Source organism: Homo sapiens, chromosome 3 (genome assembly GCF_000001405.40).
Source record: "Homo sapiens chromosome 3, GRCh38.p14 Primary Assembly".
Taxonomy (NCBI): Eukaryota; Metazoa; Chordata; class Mammalia; order Primates; family Hominidae; genus Homo; species Homo sapiens.
The window spans coordinates 9,672,447-9,691,259 of record NC_000003.12 but is presented as its reverse complement, the minus strand read 5'-3'; the positions used below and the strand labels follow the sequence as shown (position 1 = coordinate 9,691,259).

Sequence of the window (18,813 nt, the reverse complement as noted above, 5' to 3'; positions counted from 1 at the left end):
TGTGGCGGTGGTTTCACAGGCTCAGCTCCAGCACTCAGGCAGTGTTCTGAGCTGAAGAGTTCACGCAGGGGTGAGCACATGGGGCCCCTGTGGGCAGTGCAGTCTGGAACGCCCACTTGCCTCCCGCTTATCTGCTCTGCCTATGTGCAGAGGATGTTCTTCCCCAACTTCCTTCATTGCCTGTTTTTGCCCAGAGGGAAAAACCATAGAGGGGTGATGGGAGGAAGGTTCCAGAAGTTTCAGAATGTTTTTCTTCTTAACAGACCTATTACTACCAAGGACTAAACTGAGTCTGAAAATCACATGGACATGTGGCAGAGCTTGACTTGAACCTGGGATGGATGCCAAAGCTCATGCCCATTCTTCTAAATGCCCCTTTTTCCCTGGAATTCACTAAGGGCCTGAAGTCCCACGCTGCTTTATTCACTCCAGAAAGGCTAGACATTCTCAAAACTTTAGAACACAAAGCAATTCACAGGATTCTTTCGATGGGAGTATGAAAGTGGTAGGAAATGCTTTCCCCAAGTGCCAGACCAGCCCTCAATCCTAGCCTCTGGCCTGTGCTCAGCTTTAAACTCACCCAGGAGGCACCATTCCTGCAGCGCCCTTCAGCCACGGCCCTGGCATGGCCATCCTGGCTGAGCTGCTCCCTTTCCAGGTGTGCAGTCACCATCGTTTGTCCCAGCCACACACATGTAGCTCAGCTCCCTAACACTGTTCTCACTGCCCCACCAATTCAGACTTTAGATGTGGGAGCCAGAAGGGACTCAGAATCTAGATCTATCTCTTCAATCACAATGGGAGGTGCGCCTAGGAGGCTGGGATCTGCCAAAGGTAACAAGTGGAGGCAGTCCCTATTCCCCACCTATCACATAACAGCCACGGCACTTCTGGGTTCCCCTGCATTATGCTAGGGTTCGAGGAAGGAGTCTCAAACCACTCTACAAATCAGCCCTTGCTTTATTACCAAACACTAACCCATCCTCCAAATACTGGGCCTGCAAGCTTAGGAACCCCATCTTGAGACCCTAGCTCAGGTGCTGGCCCCCGACCCTCCAGTCTTATTAAGGGGGAAAGCTAGGCACTTCCAACAGCAAGGGCTTTGGAGCTCCTCACCTGGGTTTGGGGACCTCCAGGGGACTGCTACCCATCCTGAAAAAGTTATCAGAATGGTTTGAGGAAGAGGAGCTGGAAGACCTGGCTTCCGCCAGCCCCTGCTGGGAAGGCAAGCGGTCCTCTGAGGGTTGTGGCCGGTTCCAGAGGACACTCTGTGGAGAGGATGAGTGGCTCTTCCTCCTGCAGTGGAAGGAGCAGGGCTGTGAGCCGGGGGCCACTGCAGGCAAAGCCCTCTGCCCACCCTCACTGAATTTCAGGCCTAGGCTTTACTTCCACTGGGAAAACATCACATGAGTTGGCAAACATTAGCACTCTCTCCAGCTCAGGGCCATGGGCAGCAGGGCTGGGTCTTTATGGAGGGCCTGTGGCATCCAAATCACACCAGCCTACTGGTCTTGAAGTATGTGCTAGAAAATGATTCCTCACTCTTCAGTCACTGCCCACCTCCATATGTTATGCAAAATCTTTTTTCCCCCTCTAAAAGACGGGGTCTCATTATGCTGCCCAGACTGATCTCAAACTCCTGGGCTCAAGTGATCCTCCTGCCTTGGCCTCCCAAAGTGCTGGGATTATAAATATAAGCCACCACTCAGGACTTTGTTATGCAACATCTTGAGCCATCTGTCCAGGGTGAAAGTCATCAGGGTCTCAATTTCATGAGATTCTCAAAGGAGCTGACCCTCAAGTTCCCAATTCCCCATCAACTTACACCTACCTTTTGGTTTTCTTTTTCCAAAATGGCCCCCTATCTCCCCGACAAATGATAAAATGGAGCTCCTCCAATACCAGCCTCCCCAGACCCCTGCCCTACCCTGCCCAGCTGCTTCTCTGTCCCACAGGGAGCCCTAGCCCTTTATGTTCCTGGGCCACCACAGGCAGTGCCCTTCACCAACCAGATGGCTGACTTCTGAGGCCCAGTAGAGACAGCAGGAGCACGGAGCTATCCTCTCAGCTCTTCTCTTGGGGGCCTGCTTTGTTCTTGGGGCTCCAGCCTGGCTCCCTGGTGCTGATGGCCCCGGGCCACAGCTGTGAGTGACCTTGGTCCAAGTCTGGCCCCTTACCAAGCTGCCTGAGTTGGCGCTCCTGCTGGGACCAGCTCCACGGCCTCATAGGTGAAGCTCCCAGTGGCTCCTGGGGAACTCTCCATGACCAGGGAGAAGTCGCTGCCAAGGCTGGTGGTGCTGCCACGGTCCTTTCGTCCTAAAAGAAGCCAGTGCCATCAGTCAGCGTGTTACCTTCTCCCACTACTGGTCCCCCACCTTTTCTATACCACATAACTGGGAAGAAAAAAAAAAAAACAAAAAACCTCTTAGCACAAACAGTTCCTGCCTGATCTGTACACGGGAAGATGTATGGAGGAAGGGAAGTCTGTTGGGGCCCAGGACTCACTCAGCATGCAGATGTCTTCCAGGGTGAAGCCTCCATCCCGGGCTGGCAAACTCTTCCTCCTAGAAATGGAAGCCGGAGCAGTAAATTCCAGATCTATCTGGGGTCTTATTGTGTCCCCCGTTCCCAATCCTGCCTGTCCTGGAAAGCAGCTCAATTCACTGGCAACTTGTGGAGACGGGTCCTAGCCTAGGGAGTGTTATAAGACACCAGGGCCACTTCTGGGACCCACGCTGCAAGGCTCTGTCCAACACACAGGTGAAGATTTCTGAGGGCAGCAAGGTCTGCATCCTCCTCATCAGCTTGTGCCCTGAGCGTTCAAGTGTGGCCCAACATGCTTGTAGCTCGGATTAGGAAGGCAAACCAACTCAGGCAAGACCCCAACTCTTACAGGGGTCCTAAGGCAGTTGCCAGCCAAGACTCTTGCATTTCCCAGGCCGGAAGCAGACTTCTGCCCTTTTGTAGGGGGCTGCAGTGTTCAGCCACACTTCCTGCTGTAGGCCATGGAGGACAAGAGTCAGCTTGGGCACACTGGGAGTTAAGAGTCCTCCTACTCCTGGGCTGGCTTCTCCCTGCAGCAACACACCTGTTTTCTTGGTCATGAGAGACCACTCGTCTGTCCCAAAGCCTGTCTGCTAGTGTGACTCCAAGTTGACCCCCACATGGCCTTCCCTGCAGAAGAGCCTCTTCACCAGTGGCCTTCAGCAGGGACCCCTACCCTGGCCTCAGAGCGAAGGCAGGAGGGAGCACCAGCCCAACAAGCAGGGAGGCAGGGCGGGAATGAGGTGGTCAGCCTCTTGCCTCCCAGGGAGCAGCCCTTCTCAGAGCGCCCTGGCCCAGCATGACACGTGCAGGCCTCCACTTACCTCTGGGTCTTCAGAGCAGAGAACTCCTCGGAGGTAATATGCTTCAAAAAATTGAAGCAGAAGAAGAAAATCTAAAGGAGACCAAAGAGCAGCGCACAATGAGAAGAACCAAGGCAGCAGAACTCCCAGGGGAGGGCGGCCAGCCACTCAGGTCAAGGCCCCTGCTGGAGAGCGGCCCTGCTGTGGGACTGTGTGGGTGTTCTGGTCCATAAATGGTGTGGGTGGTACAGAGGCCTTGGAAGGGCCTGGCAGATGCATGTGGGCCGGGGCAAGGCAGGAAGGGATTTCCTTCCTGGGACTGCCAGGGTTAAGCCAGCTATTTTTTTTTTTTTTATTTGAGACAGAGTCTCGCTCTGTCACCCAGGCTGGAGTGCAATGGCGTGATCTCGGCTCACTGCAAGCTCAGCCTCCTGGGTTCAAGCCACTCTCCTGCCTCAGCCTCCCGAGTAGCTGGGACTACAGGTGCCCGCCACCATGCCCAGCTCATTGTTCGCATTTTTATTAGAGACAGGGTTTCACCGTGTTAGCCAGGATGGTCTCAATATCCTGACCTCATGACCCGCCCGCCTCAGCCTCCCCAAGTGCTGGGATTACAGGCGTCAACCACCGTGCCCAGCCAGGCCAGTGATTTTTCAAACCATCATTAAATTCAACATGTGTGTTCTCAAGTGGTTAAAAAGGATAAAGTGAAATGGCACCCTCTCCCCTCTTCTAAGATTCCCAGGGAGAGATGCTAACAGGGAAGGATAGCTGCGGGAGAGATGACTTGGGCGCAGGGAGAATAATGGACAAAGCAGGAACATAATGGAAAGGAAAGGAATCACATTTTTTAGGGGAGGCATCCCAAAATACTGGTTCAGAACTGCGGGTGTGGGCAGCCACTGTCTGGCCTAGAGCCTCCCTTGCTGAGGAGCTGTGAGGGTCAGGTCTTAAGCTTGAGGTGGGCACAGGCAGGAGGCTCCTGACCCCAGCCACACCCCCACCTCCATGAGCAAATTATCTTCTCCCTTCCAGCCAGTGCCTCGCCCAGGGGCCTCCAGGAAGCACACACCAGGCTTCCATTTCTGTGGTGATTCCCAAAGGCCTGGCCCATGAGCCCCTCTCTCAGAGAAATCCCTACTTGGCATCCCACGAGCCCTGTCAGTTTCTTATCTCTGTGTGCCCAGGCAAGGAGCTGCCCCCCACAAGGAGAGGGCTGCCCAGGTCGGGTCAGTATGAAAATGTTGTGTTACTTAAGATTAAACAGGTGTTTTCACTACAGACTTTGTAGTCTTTAATATGCTAATATGCTAATATGTTCCCCGAACCTCCAAGGTGAGGTGGGGAGACGACACAATCGTGTTTAACTAATAGGCCTGGGGTTTTTTGCTTTGGACGCATCAGTGTCTGGATTGTCTGGGGGGGGTAACAGAAAGGTCCTGAAGATGAACCTGCAGCTGAGGAGAGCCTCTTGTCTACATGGAGAGATGCCAAGGGCTCAAACTCAGACACTACTTGGTTCAGCCCCACCCTCTGCAGGCAGATCTGGTCTGCTTTGTCGGGGAGGGAGACTACAGGGAGGGTAGAATGTCCCAGAGCTCCGGGAAAGTCCCAAAATGAGAGGCTACAAAAAGGCTTCTTGAAGCACTGATTTCAATACCAAAGTCACCGCCTCTGAGGGAGTTCACGGAGGCCTCTGAGGAGTAGGCTTAGAGCTCTACAGCCCTGGCAGACGCGATAAGTGTTCAGAAGAAGAGATTTGGAAGAGGAGAGGAGCAGCTGAGACGGAGGAACAAAAGGAGGAGGTGCGAGATAAGATGCCCAGGAAGGAAGCAGCCCCATGAGGGTGAGAAAGATGAGAAACACACTTTGGGAAAATGGGGGAGTGGGGGCCAAAGAGAAGGAGCTGACACCGTGGGACAGCTTCCATGCTGGGCACCTGGACTCATTCTCTCACGCTTGACACCAGGAGACTCAAGGTGAAGCAGACCACCCAAGGTCACCCAGGCAGTAAGGGGGCCAACTAGGGAACACACTCAGGGCCGACTCCAGACCTGCATTGCAAGGAAAACAGGCACTAACAGGTAAGGCCTGCGGAGAGTGGCCGACAGGATGGGGGCGCAGAAAAGGCGACAGGCATGGGGGAGAGAGTGCTGAGCACATTGGAAGAGGAAGGAAGAGCAGGTCCAGAGGAAAGGGGACCTGGAGGCAACCATCAGGGGCAGGACCCTGCTGCCGGGCACCCTGACATTGAAAAGTGGCTGAAGGGTGTGACGGGAGGGTGGGGAAGAGAAGTGCTGCTGCATTTTAGTTGCAGAGACGAGGGGCACAGAAAGGCCTTAGAGGATGGGGTTCCAGAGCTGAGCAGAGAGAACAAGTGGCCTGTGAGAGGGAAGATCACAGGCAGCCAAGGCTGTCATGTAACTGCTCACCCCGACGTGTGGGCTTGTATCCTCTCCACAGCACAGGCCCGCGAGGCCCAGAACACAGAGCTACTGTGCTGGTGCCTGTCCTGCCACGCTGCCTCAGGAGGAGATGACAGGGGGCCACATCCCTGCACACCTGGGGCAAGGAGCTGCCCCTAACACGTGGAACTCAGACAGGCTACCCACTGCCCCTCTTTCAGTGCTGAGCTGTGCCCACAAGTCGTAGGTGGTATACTCACCTCCTCCCCTTTGCTGAGCCGATCTACCAACATGTGCCTGAAAAAAGGAGGGTAGAGAGGCAAAGTCAGCAGCACCAAGATGACAAGGCCAAGAGGACAGGGTCACCAGACACAGACTGTGTCACTGGCACCAGCGTGGCAGGTGGGGCCTGATCAGCAGCTTCGGTCCTTCTCGAGGGGTGGAATTATCCTTACCTCCAGCCCCTGTCAAGGGAGCCACCACACAACTCACATATAGAAACTGTTACTAAGGCCCCAAAACCCAACTCCTGCAAAGGCTTACCCGAAGAGGAACCAGTCATAGGCCACAGTGAGGTAGAGGATCTCAGTGGGCTTCAGGGACGTGTGGATGAGCCCATCCTGGAAGAGACCACAGGAGATGTGACAGAGCCCTCTTCTCATCCCCAGGAGCTGAACCATAACCAGACCCAGTGACAACGCAGGCTGAAGAACACCCGGAAGGACAGGGTTAAACACATCTGCTCTGAGCGATGGCATCCCCTGCTCCACCCTCTGTCTGGAGACAATCCTAACACACCCAAAGAGCAGAGCTTGGTAGGGGCCGATTCATACTCACAGCCCACAAGGAAAGGCGCAGGAGGGAGATGAAGAGGGGGGTCCGATCCCAGCCTGAGATACAGTGTACCAGCAGCCCGCTGTCATCTACTCAGGAACCGCAGGAGAGGATGCCCAGGAGAGAACCAGACATGGGCCGATGAGCAGGAAGTACCACCAGCTTGGCCTGGTGGAGGGAGCCAGGCCCCACCAGCTTCTGTCTTCCCCAGTGGCCTCCCCATGGCTCTTCTCCAGCCTAGTCCCAGAAAGGGGTGAGTGGCAGGCGTCTGGCTTTGTAGCTTCCTTTCTTCCTTCTGACTATAGTTCTCAGTGTACTTCTGGGGACACAGTGCAGCCTACACAGTCCACTTTGCCCAGGTCATTTAGGCAGGGATGACATCCCTACCCAGTTTCTCAGAGGGCACGACAAGTATTTTTTTGGGGGGTAGCGGGAGTGGGCAATTTTTCAGTGTGCAGGGCTGCATGAATTGCAGGACACTGACTATCCCTGGCCAACTCTAACCACATGCTAGTACTACCTTCCCCACCCTCTAGTTTCTGCAGCACCTAACATGCCAGACACACGTTTCCAGAAGTGCTTTGAGGGGTGCTAATGCCCGCAGCTAGAGAACCAGTGCCTGGCTCCAGGGGCTGGCATGCGACTTTGTGGCAAATCTCCCTCCAGCGACTAGTTCAAGGATGGGCACTTAACCCAAACTGGGCCAATGAGCATAAGCTCAGACCTTTACTGGAACTCCAGAGACTGAGGTAGTCTCCCCTGGGGGAGCTAAGATGGCGGGAGACAGGTCTGGAATGGCTGCCAGCCATGAGGCCAAGACAGTGGTTTTGAGAAACAGAGAAAGATTCTTTATGATGTTCACCTGGCTCTGTTCTTGGGCCTTCTTGGTTCCATAAGCCAATGCATTTCCACTTGTTTGAGCAAGTGCAACTCCTACAGAAGTCCTGATTGCTACCAGGGATTTAGAGTCCGTCTGCCCTAGAGACATTGAGCAAGCCAGGCCCATCCAATCAAAACAGCCAAACTGGGTGGAGGACTCTGGAGAACAGGGCCTCTACAGGCTGTGTGCATCCACTGAGCAGCCCGGATTGATTCTCTCATCTCATGCCTCATCTTTCTGAATGAGAGGCCCATCCTGGCCCCACACACAATGCTGTTGTGCAATGCTGAGACAGTGTGAAAATACCCTGTGCACGGCATAGATGGTAAGGAGTTCTTAATTTTGTTTTCTAGGATTTTGAGGACATGGAATAAAGCCACCAATGGACAAATCCCACCCAGCCTCTGGGATTCTAGGAACTCCCCAAATTCCTCTCCCACAGCACAAAAGTAAGGTGTGCAACTCCAACAAACATACAGTTGAGGCAGAATGAACTGGGAACTCCCCAAGGGTGCAGTGGCTCGAGGGCTCTGGAGGAGACAGACTCACCATCACTGTTAACTAAGGAAAGCAGCAGCTTCAGGTAGTTTTGTGTTTGTTGCACCAGATCCCAACACTGTTGGAGAAAAGTGAGAAGAAATGGACATTAACTCAGATTTAGAATTTAAAGTATTTAAAAAATAAAATGCCAAGAGTTATTCTGGGGCAACAACTACACAAGGTCCTTGGTTACAGACCATAGGTTTTGAATCCCAGATAATCTGGGACATTCGTATTCCATCTCCAGCAGCTCCTACCACCTCTCCCTCCACCACTCAGCCTGTGGACCCCCTACTCGGGGGGCGGGGGCGGGGGGGGGGCTCTGACCCAATGTGAGAGTGAGGAACAGAAACGGATGCTGAGGCCAGGGTGACCCAGAGCCCCCTGCCCACATTAGGGTCCTCTAAGTGCTGGGCTCCTGGTGTGGCTGTCCAGGAAGCCAGTAAAGGTAAACGAAGAGCCCTGAGGCTGTAGCCAATGTCTCCAAATGGCCACATAAAGATTCATTCCTTCATATGCCATCACATCACAGAAACTAAAACATCAACCTTTTCAAACATGCTTCATTTGCTTTTTAGTGCTATTTACTGCATACTATCTTTTGATGAATAATAAATGGAGTCTGTCTGGCAGGGAAAGTCTTTTAAAAAAGGAGGCCCATGAGGTGGGAGATGGAAAATTAAGCAAAAGCTTTAAAGAGATGAGAACCTCTGTTCTAGCCCAAGTGCAAGGTCTAGTCCAGACCCTCTAAGAAACAGCCCACTCAGAACCTGGAACTCCATGGAAGGGCCTGACCCAGTTTTGCGGCACCCTTTTCCCTAGCTGGGGCAGTCTCTGTTCTCTTAAGATACAATTGCTTAGCAGTGTTCTGGGGCTGTGCAGAGAGGGTGACGCATGCCAGCAAAACAGCACTTCCCAGGGGGAGGGGGAACACGGCACCTGTAATTGGAGTGGCTTTCCCAGGAATTTAAAACAGCCTCATTTACCTGACCCTCCCACGCCCCTGGAGAGTTCTGACCCACTTTTAGTGACTACAGAGACAGGCGCTGTAGTGCTGTGCTAATAAAGTCATTATCAGTAGCTGCACAAGGGGTCTCTCAACTCATCTGGCTCAACGTGTCAGACACACCATTGCCAATGGAGCAGTGATTCTCACAGGGCAAGGAAAAGCAGGAGAGGGAGGTAAGAGCTGCACTGTACCAAGCCCAGTGAGCGTCAGGTGGGCTAGGGGAAGACTGCAGCAGCCGGGGAGGGCAGGCCCTGCCGAGGACAAGAGAGCTGCGGAATGCCAGCCACCATGACGGCTGTCTGGAGGAGATGCTGACCATCAGGGAGGGGCAGCAAGTTCCCAAGGCTGGGGCAGGAACTACAGGCTGGGGAGGGCTGGGCTGGTAGAGGGCCAAGGTCACACGGCTGAGCTGAGGGATAAATCCAGCCCTGCCAGACTCCAAAGTCCACATTCTTAATCACTGTAGGTACTCTTCCTATAACACCAGAGTAAGAAGCAGAAGTCTGAGGGAACTGCTCAAAGTGATGACCGAGGAGATATGCTAAAAAACAAACAAACAAACAAACAAACAAGGCTCGTGCCTGACTCTCTCATCCTACGTGCTTCATGAAAAAGTCTCTGGGAGCTGAGCTAAATGCCATGCCTCTGCTTATGTTTCTATGCCTAGAGTACTCTTTCTGCTGGTTGGTAAACTCCTACTCATCCTTCAAAGGCCCAGACCAATTATCTTCTCTTTGGGGTTTCTGTGACCACTGGTAAAAACTGTAATGTAGGTGATGGTTACGTTGTTGCCTCTTTTCCTAGTCTAATCCCCATGAGGGCAGAGGCTGTTTTGGCATCTCTAAGGCTTAGTGTTCAGGGACTAGGAGGTCATTGCAGAATGTTCCTTGCTGCTTCTTCATAGCTGGGGCAATGCTGAGTGCCTGAGGGACAGCAGCCCCAGGGAGGGGTCTTAGGACACAGAAAGAAGGGGCATACCTCTACGGAATTCAATTCGGTTACATGGAGGGCAGCAAGACACATGTGTCCTGCCACAACTGCTCCTATCATTCATTCATTCACTCATTCATTCATTCAGTAAGCCTCACACTGCATGCCTCCTGAAGGGCCTGGCACCAGGCACACAAGGGTGAATATGACCTCAACAATCATGGAGTCACGGGAGAGGGAAGACAAAGTTAACCACTGCAGGTGTGCAACTAAAAGGGGACCTCTAGGATGCTGTGTAACCATATGACTGGAGAGCCAAGCCTGATCTGTAGGGACATCAGAGAAGGCTTCTCAGAGGTGATGACATGAGACAGCATAAGCAACAGAGAAAGGAGACACGTGTTTCTGGCAGAGAAAACAGCACGTGCGAACCTGGAGAGGGCTGCCTTCTTTTGTTTGTTTGTTTGTTTGTTTTTTTGAGACGGAGTCTCGCTCTGTCGCCCAGGCTGGAGTGTAGTGGCGCGATCTCAGCTCACCGCAAGCTCCGCCTCCCGGGTTCACGCCATTCTCCTGCCTCAGTCTCCCGAGTAGCTGGCACTACAGGCGCCCGCCACCACGCCCGGCTAATTTTTTAGTAGAGATTGGGTTTCACTGTGTTAGCCACGATGGTCTCGATCTCCTGCCCTCGTGATCTGCCCGCCTTGGCCTCCTAAAGTGCTGGGATTACAGGCATGAGCCACCGTGCCCGGCCATGGGCTGCAGGAAGATCAGCTGGTCACAAGAACAGGCAAGACCAGACTGCATGGAGCTGGGTAGGCCATGTACAAGTTCTTGCATTGTATTCTGAGGAAAATGGGAAGTCAGTGGTAGGTTTTAAGGCAGGGGTGACAGTGATGGCCCTGCTCTATCATTTCAGTGCTTGCTATCTGAGCACTTCATTTCTAGTTACTCCTCAGTGAGGCCCCAGGTTCAGCTGTGAGATGCACTGAGACAGTGGTGGCCTGAGCTAGGCACTGCACAGGAGACGAGGGCAAGAAGGATTGCAGTTGCACTAGGGGCAGAGACTAGAGAACCGATGGGAGCTGGTGATGGATGTGGTGGGAGCAAAGAACTCGAGTTTCAGGTGTGAGCATCTGGGTAAATGGTGGGCCATGGCCAACTCTACTCTGGACAGCTTGAGTCTGAGGGGCCGCCTGAAGGGACATGTGTGAAAGGTGATGCAGGTATGGATCAGAGAGGCCTGGCTGTGGGCTCATGGTGTGGACGATGGATGAGATCACCTGGGGAGATGGTGAAAAGGAACAGGGTACCGGCACCCCAGGGCTTTGCGGGCAGAAAAGGCAGAGCCCACACCCAGCCAAGGAAGAGCATGCTAGGAGCCCCAGTGAGACAAAACAGGTTGAGCAACACTGAAGAGGTGGCCTCTTGGGAGGCGCCTGCCTGCCTGCTACACTCCAGCCCTGCTGCCTTCACGCCTGGAAGTTTCAGTGTTCACTTCCCTGAATTAGCTAGCTAGCAGCCTCTTCATAATTATCATTACAATCTGTCTGGTATTTCAGTTCAGGAGTCCCTTTCAAGCAGTGATCATATTTGAGCCTGGCACAACTCTGAAATAGGTACTGCCAACACCATTTTCAGGGGGAAGTGAGGTCATCTGTTCAAGGCCACAGAGCCTTGCAGGAAGGGCCAGGCAAGCTGGGACCTAGATCTAGGGCCTGCATCTACTAAGCAGAGTACCTCCTCACACGCACAGGACCCCTTCCTAAAGAGGCAAACATCCTTGGGACCAGTGCCTGGAACTGTCACATCTCATTTGCTGAGTAGTTCATCAGATCCAGTTTGTACCTGCATAAGGAGAAAAAATGGTGCCGGAAGGGACCAGAAAGAGGGTGGCTTGGGGCAGAGTCTACTTGACCTCTGCATGCAGCACATAAAGAAGGAAGCCTGCCGGTTCTTTTATCTACTCAGTCTGTCTAGGCACAGCCTGGGACATGAGACCACAGCACAGGTACCCCAAACCTGTTCCTTCTCCAGGCTTCCAGACCATAACAAACAACTGGTCTGCTTTCCTCCCCAGTGCTCCCTCTCTTGCAAACACCTGCATTGGGGAACTCTGACATCACCCTACTTCATACACTCAAACAGTTGCTGTGAGCATAAACCTTGTGATTAGGGTCTGGATATATATAGAGAAAACAAGATGGACCTTGCTGCTATCAGGACAACAGGGTACTGACATTGGTGATCTAGGAGCACCCAGTTGCTTAACATAGATGGGTCAGCCTTTCAAAGAAAGAGAGATCTCAAGGCTGGGTGGGAGCTGTCCAGACCTGGGGACAGGGGAAACTAGCAGGGAGGCAGAATGTTTTCTGTTGCTCACTGGCTCAGTCTTTCAAGTTCTAGGCTCTGTGCCTGTTTCTGTGCTGGGACACACAAGCTGTGGGTCCCTGTCCTCCAGGATTTCAGGGAAGCAGATCTCTAAATCAGTGACTACAGCTCAGTGGAAAATTCCATGATGGATGTGCCCAGGGGGTTAATGGGAATATAGATGCAGGCATCCAACTCGCCAGGGATAAGGAAGAGGCAGATCAGGGAAGTCTTCCTGAAGCAGACACTCGAGCCAAAGCCTGAAGGGCAGTATGTCAGCCAGACAAGAGGAAGCTGAGAGGTGGCAGCCAGGCAGAGGAACAGGACATGGGAAAGGTCGCAGAAAAACAAAACTACTTGTTCTGTCTGAAGCAAGTGGCAAGCAAAGCTGCTGGCAGCCTTCAGACTGTGTGGGCTAAGGGTAGAGAGATGTTTCCAGTAAGACTAGAGGCCCCTTCCATGGTGTGCAATGACGGAGAAGAGCATGGTGGAAGTAATTTTAATGTTTCTATAATCAAATGAGGTCAGGCAGCTCTGTACTTCCTCTGGCTGAACACACATTTAAAAGGAAAAATGTAAAAGTAACTAAAGCCCAGATCTGGAATAGCAGACTCTATGAGGTCCTCTGGAAACAGAACCCCCTGGTGGATGCAAATCTTTGAATGAGTCACGTTCAGAAAGCTTTGATTTTCTGGGACATGAGCAAATCAGGAGATAGTTGAACGGACACACAATTCCTCCTTTCTGAGAGGACAGAGGGCCAAAGGCATCTGAGTGCACAAGCCAGCCCATCAGGCAAACACACGAGGGCCTTGTGGGGCAGGCATCAAGAGTCTCCTTGGTCACCACTCCCTTATCCTGCCCTCAATGCTTGAGTCAGGCCCCTCACCTGATACTGGCTCCAGTCAATGTTCAGAGAGTGAGTCAGGAAGTCGGGGATGCTCAATGGGGCATCAACGTAGTCCTGGGGACAGAAAGACTCCTGTGAGATGTGGGTTGGCCACCAGAGGAGGCTTAGGTGATGGGGAAGCTTGCAGTCCTGAGGCTGTGACTACCACAGGCAGTGCTTGCCTTCTCTGGGCCAGATACCTGTGCTACCTGGGAGTGACAGCTTAAAAATCAATGTGACCAGATCAGTATAGCTGAGTAGGAGTTTTTCAGTCGGACATTTGATGTCTGTTGCTGAAACATGCAAGATCAATATGTGTTCAGCTTCCGGCAGGTTTCCCATAGCCTGCCCCTACAGGCTGGGGAAGGCAAAGAATGCTGCCCCCAGCTTTCACACAGAGAGTACAGAAGGGAAGGGCTTTTCCTATCTTGTTTCTGAAAAATTCCCTTAAACAAAAGAGAAATAAAGGGGGGAGGAAAGTATAATGATGAAAATTTAACAAGTATATACAAGGAGAAGAGGGAGAGGAAGACAGAAACAATCAGGGAGGAAAGGGGAGTTATTTTCCCCAAAGACTGCTTGTTGTTTTCCCCAAAGACTGCTTGTTGTTCTCCTTGGCCTCCCTTTACAAAGAGACATAGATCCAATTTGATGTATGTTATTGCTCATACCTGCTTCCAGTTAAATATGAGCCCTTCTGCCATGTAATCCCGATCTTTATATTCCTTGAAAAATTCACAGCCTGGAAAAGAAGGGCAGAGTTATGACATCTCCCTTCCCAGCCCAAAGTCTTCTGAGACAGCCCTGGCCAGACCCAGGTCCCTGAGTGCTGTGGAGAGGGGGCCGCCAACTCACACTTCTCCAAGCTAGTGGCTTCAGTGAGGCCAAGGCTGACACGGGTGGGCAAAAGCCAGGGGCGAGCCTCTAGAGCCCCTCTGGTTTCCTGGCTGCATGCCTTTTCCACGAGGCACTGCCTGCTCTCAGCCTCTTTGTAACTTTCTCCATCTATGCTCACTGGTCACCAGTCACTTCCCCCACATTGCAAGTCCCTTTGTCCTACAGGTCTCTGTAGTGCCAATCCCAGTAAACAAAGGCATGACTCACAACGTGAGCCACTGCAGCCTAGCTGCAGAGGATCACTCTTCCTCTTCTCTAAAATGGGGGCAAATAATGCTAGCCTTGCAGGCTTTTAGTGAAGACTGAACATCCTAACATACTGGAAAGGCCCACGGACAGTGCCTAAAACCCGGTGCTCAAGAGACACTGCCATGCCCAACAAAGCAAGCAAAGAGGCACTTTTCTATATTCTTTGGTGGAAAAATCATAAGTAACTCCACCAGGACAAGCCCTCAGGAACAGAGAGAAACACTGGAGAGAATAGGGCTTTGGCAACATTCCCAGCTTAAAATCTCAGCTTTTTACTTAACACTGTAACGCTGAACAAGTTGTTTAATGTCTCTAAGCCTTGATTTTGTCATTTGTAAAATGGCTGTTTAAGGATGACATAATACATATAAAACACCTAGCACTGCACTGGTCCAAGTGACACTCAAATGGCAGCACACTATTGTCATCACGCTGCCACTGCAACAAGAGCCCACAGTGCCAGCCCACAGCGTGAAGTCAACTACTTTGCTCTGCGCTTGGAGTTGGCTGCCTTGGTCAGAGAGAATGCGTCTTGCCCCCCGGGCTGTGGCCTGCCCCTGCTGAGTCTGACTATAGCACAGAGAGCATCTGGTCCTCCAAGGAGCTCCTGGTGGCTTCAAGAAATATGGTGGGAGAAGGCACTTGGCTAGCTTGCAGTTATTCTCAGCACCTCAATCAGGGCCTCTACACAAACTTCAGACGGCACATGGCTTTGGCCACACCTCCAAGTCTGGTGAGGTCCCAGAGGCAAGAAAACAATCGTCCAAATTCAGGGGAAGTAGCCACAAAGAAGATTCACATGGAATGTCGCAGCAACTCTTGGGCCAAGTTCCTGTCTGAGGCCACCTCAGGGAAGATAGGAAAGCTTCCCTGGAGACCCAGCCCATGTTTTCCAGAAGTGGCTTTCATTCCATACACACCCTGCACTCTAATCCCCAGGCCTCGAGAAGTCTGGAAACAATCTTCAGCCATAACACTTTAGCCTATTCTTGGGAGCCTCACTGGGAGAAAGAAGAATTATAGATCTCAGACAGAGGCCCTGAGTTATGAGCCCAGGTTTAGAAGAGACAGCAATTATCCCTCAGAGCTCTTGTGAAGTGCTGTTTTCCCAACTCTAGCTGCTCAAATCAACACTGCAGGCCTCAGGCTGAGCTCAGACCCGCCTATGATGCAGAAGCAGTTTTTGTGAGAAACAGAATTAAAATAGACTCTACTCAGGGCAAATGCCTAATGTTCATTACCTGAATAGGCTTCGGAACCACTGTCAGGCAAGAGGAGAGGGACCAAAAGCAGGATGAGAAGTGCCATTCACTCAAGGAGGAAACAAATTAGATTTGTGCTGCAGAATTTGGGACCATCTATTTTGGTGTGCTGAAAGAAACGATCCCAGAATACTTCTCATTTCCAAGGGCCCAAGATAGTGTGACACATCTAGAACTGAGACTACTGAGTACCTGTATGAGCCTCAAAGTCATCACAGGGCTCAACTGAGATTCCTTAAATAGCATCAAAGTGCAGCTCGTGACTTGGTTTGGGTAATAGTAATTTTATTTCTTTTTCTTATTATAAAGTAATAGAAGTTATGTAAAAAAACCCACAAGAACACAAGTCTATCAAATAAAAAGTGATTCTCCTGTCCCCCTTATTTGGGTGTGCAATGGTGTCTCATCCCATCTCCAGCTTTTTTATTTTTATTGATCCTCATTACCCTCCCTAACACACATACACTGTCAGATACAGTACATACAAATTTTGGTCTCTTTTGATGCCTTTTATTTGTTTTTGTTTTTATTTTTGTTTTGAGACGGAGTTTCCCTCTTGTTGCCCAGACTGGAGTGCAATGGCACAATCTTGGCTCACTGCAACCTCCGCCTCCTGGGTTCAAGCGATTCTCCTGCCTCGGCCTCCCGAATAACTGGGATTACAGGCATGCGCCACCGCGCCCGGCTAATTTTGTATTTTTAGTAGAGATAGGGTTTCTCCATGTTGGTCAGGCTGGTCTTGAACTCCCTACCTCAGGTGATCTGCCTGCCTCAGCCTCCCAAAGTGCTGGGATTATATGCGTGAGCCACTGCACTCGGCTTTTGATGCCTTTTATAACAAAAAAAGCTTTGGGGAAAGCATTCAGGCATCTTAACATTTTGGCACACTTCCTTTTAAGCCTTTTTTATAAGCACATTTTCCTTTACTTAGTTGAGAGTATACTATGTGATTCTGTATCCTGCCTATCTTAAGCTCTGTGACGTTTTCCATGTCAAAAAGTGTAAGCATTTTCTATTTTTTATTTTTGGTAGAGACAGAGTGTCGCTGTTTCCCAGGCTGGTCTTGAACTCCTGGGCTCAAGCAATCTTACTGCCTAGGCCTCCCAAAGTGCTGAGATTAAAGGCGTGAGCCACCATGCCCAGCCCATTTTCGATTCTTCTATGACTATACAATATTTCATTCTACTGAGGGATGTGCCATCATTCAATCATTATTCTGATTAGTGAAAACATTTCTTGTTTTGCTATTACAAATAGACATCATGATGAACGTCCTCAACACCAAGTGGCTGAATTACAGCCTAATGACCAATTATTAGAAAAATACCTGGGTCAAAGGGTGATAACATTTTGGGAGTCCTGTAACAAGTTGCCAAACTACAGCAGAAAGGACACTGTGCTACTATTTTGGAGCAATGTTATTTATACTTCTAGCAAAACTATTTTTTCCAAACCAAGTCCTACTTGGAACCTAAATTTAAACGAAGTGATGCCTGGTTCCTCAGGCAGTGCAAACCTGCAGAGTTCAGTCTGTGGAACCCCCGAAGCATCTCCTGGGAGCTGGAAACTATGTCTGAAAACCAGCTATGGAGTTACCCAGTGGTTCCAGTGTGGACCCCCTTAGGTAGGATACACCCATCAGTGTGGGTCTGATACTGCCAAGCTCACTCCAGCATCATTATCATCATCATCATCATCACCATCATCAACATCATCACCACCATCATCATCATCTGCATCAGCGCAAACTTGCTTTTAGGGAAAAGGAGGTTCCCTGAAGCTTTCCCAACTACTCATCATTAGGCCTGTTATTTACAGGACACCTGTTATGGAGGGGTCTGGCACTTCACTCTTAAATAAGCACCATTATCTTCATTTTATTAAGGAGGGAACTGATGCTCAGAAGGGTTATAGGACTTGTTCAAGGAGACACAGTGCTAGGGCTGGGATTCCTGCCCCCAGCTTGCACATGATGAGGACACCCCTCCCACAAGGCACTAGATGAACCTGCCTGCCCTTGCTCATGGCTATGTGGCCCCAATATTGAGGAGATAAGGTCCAACACAACACTGAAGGCAGATGCTGGTGCTGAGAAATAGGAGAGAGGTTTTAAGGAGAAAGAGTATTTACTCCCTGTTGTCTGCTGACAACATCTTGCACTGATGTTAGAGGTCCTTGGCCTCCCTTACTAAACAGGCAGGTATTGCCAGAAAACTTGAATGCTACACACTAGACCAACAGCTTTAATATCCAGTGCAGAGAATACAGCCCTGGCCACAGGTTGCACACACTTTTATGTGCCAGGAACAAATGCAGCTTTGTGGATACCAATGTGCTTTGCAACATGGTGTGGCCACTGTCCAGTTACTGGGAACATAGCAATTATGTGTTCTTCTACCACCAGAATAGCCTTGCCTGGGGCAATTTCCATAAATAACTCAATCACTTCAAGACATGCACCCAAAGGGTGACATCCACTCAGGCTACAGCAGCAAGTGTAGTTGCTCACACAGAGTACTAATAATGTCATTTTACACTTAAACAGTATTTTCATGCACAGACCACTTTCATATAAATCAAAACTGAGCTAAATCGTTCCAAGCTCCTGAGAAAACTTGAGGCTTGGAGGGGTGAAGTACTTCACTCAAGGCTGTGGCTAGGACCAGTGACAGTACAAAATCCCTAAACCCCTTGAGTGGAAAGCCCCTTCCCCAGGACACTATCCTATGCTTAGTGTGGCCTGTGACTGGGAACCAAAATGTCCTACACTGCCTGACACAAACCCTCCAGGAAAGCTCCCAGGGCGCCAGTGTAACTAAGTAGAGAGGGCTTGCTCATGGCCCCCAAGGTCCCCAGTCCTAGGATGCCTGCCACTAGAAGAGAGCCCCCTACCTGGATACGGGATGGAGAGGAGAGTGAAGTCGGCATAGCGCTGGGCTTTGTCCACCTTCTCAGAGGAGGTTACACTACAAGACAAGGATACAATGTGTTACAGTGTCGCAACACACACACAAACACACACCATTCCCCAAATAAGGGTTATAATCACAAATGAAGCTTCTGCTAAAAAAAACTATTCTTCATTGTTAATAATTCCCTTCAGCAGTGCCTACTTTGTACAATTAAGAACTATAACTTCAGCTGGGTGCATCGGCTGGAGGTCATGTTCCCAACATGGAGAAACCCCGTCAAGACCAGCCTGGA

The 18,813-nt window shown here is 50.9% G+C and overlaps 1 protein-coding gene across 51 annotated transcripts in view; it reads right to left on the bottom strand.

Moving 5' to 3' along the window:
- MTMR14 (myotubularin related protein 14) overlaps positions 1–18,813 on the bottom strand; it is a 52,889-nt gene that overhangs the window by 11,134 nt on the left and 22,942 nt on the right. For 20 of the 51 annotated variants that reach the window (XR_007095717.1, NM_001400518.1, NM_001400521.1 and 17 more), the window contains 11 exons: positions 18,502–18,575; positions 13,873–13,943; positions 13,202–13,276; positions 8,016–8,082; positions 6,590–6,675; positions 6,296–6,372; positions 6,013–6,049; positions 3,369–3,439; positions 2,506–2,564; positions 2,178–2,316; positions 1,117–1,296 (listed from right to left, as the gene is read on the bottom strand). Coding sequence is in view for 39 of the 51 variants with exons in the window: in NM_001400518.1 (NP_001387447.1) it covers positions 1,117–1,296; positions 2,178–2,316; positions 2,506–2,564; positions 3,369–3,439; positions 6,013–6,049; positions 6,296–6,372; positions 6,590–6,675; positions 8,016–8,082; positions 13,202–13,276; positions 13,873–13,943; positions 18,502–18,575 (936 nt within the window). In the remaining 12 variants the exon portion in view is untranslated. The remainder of the gene's footprint in view (positions 1–1,116; positions 1,297–2,177; positions 2,317–2,505; positions 2,565–3,368; positions 3,440–6,012; positions 6,050–6,295; positions 6,373–6,589; positions 6,676–8,015; positions 8,083–13,201; positions 13,277–13,872; positions 13,944–18,501; positions 18,576–18,813) is intronic. The other 31 variants (NR_174504.1, NR_174511.1, NR_174509.1 and 28 more) reach the window with 5 other exon arrangements.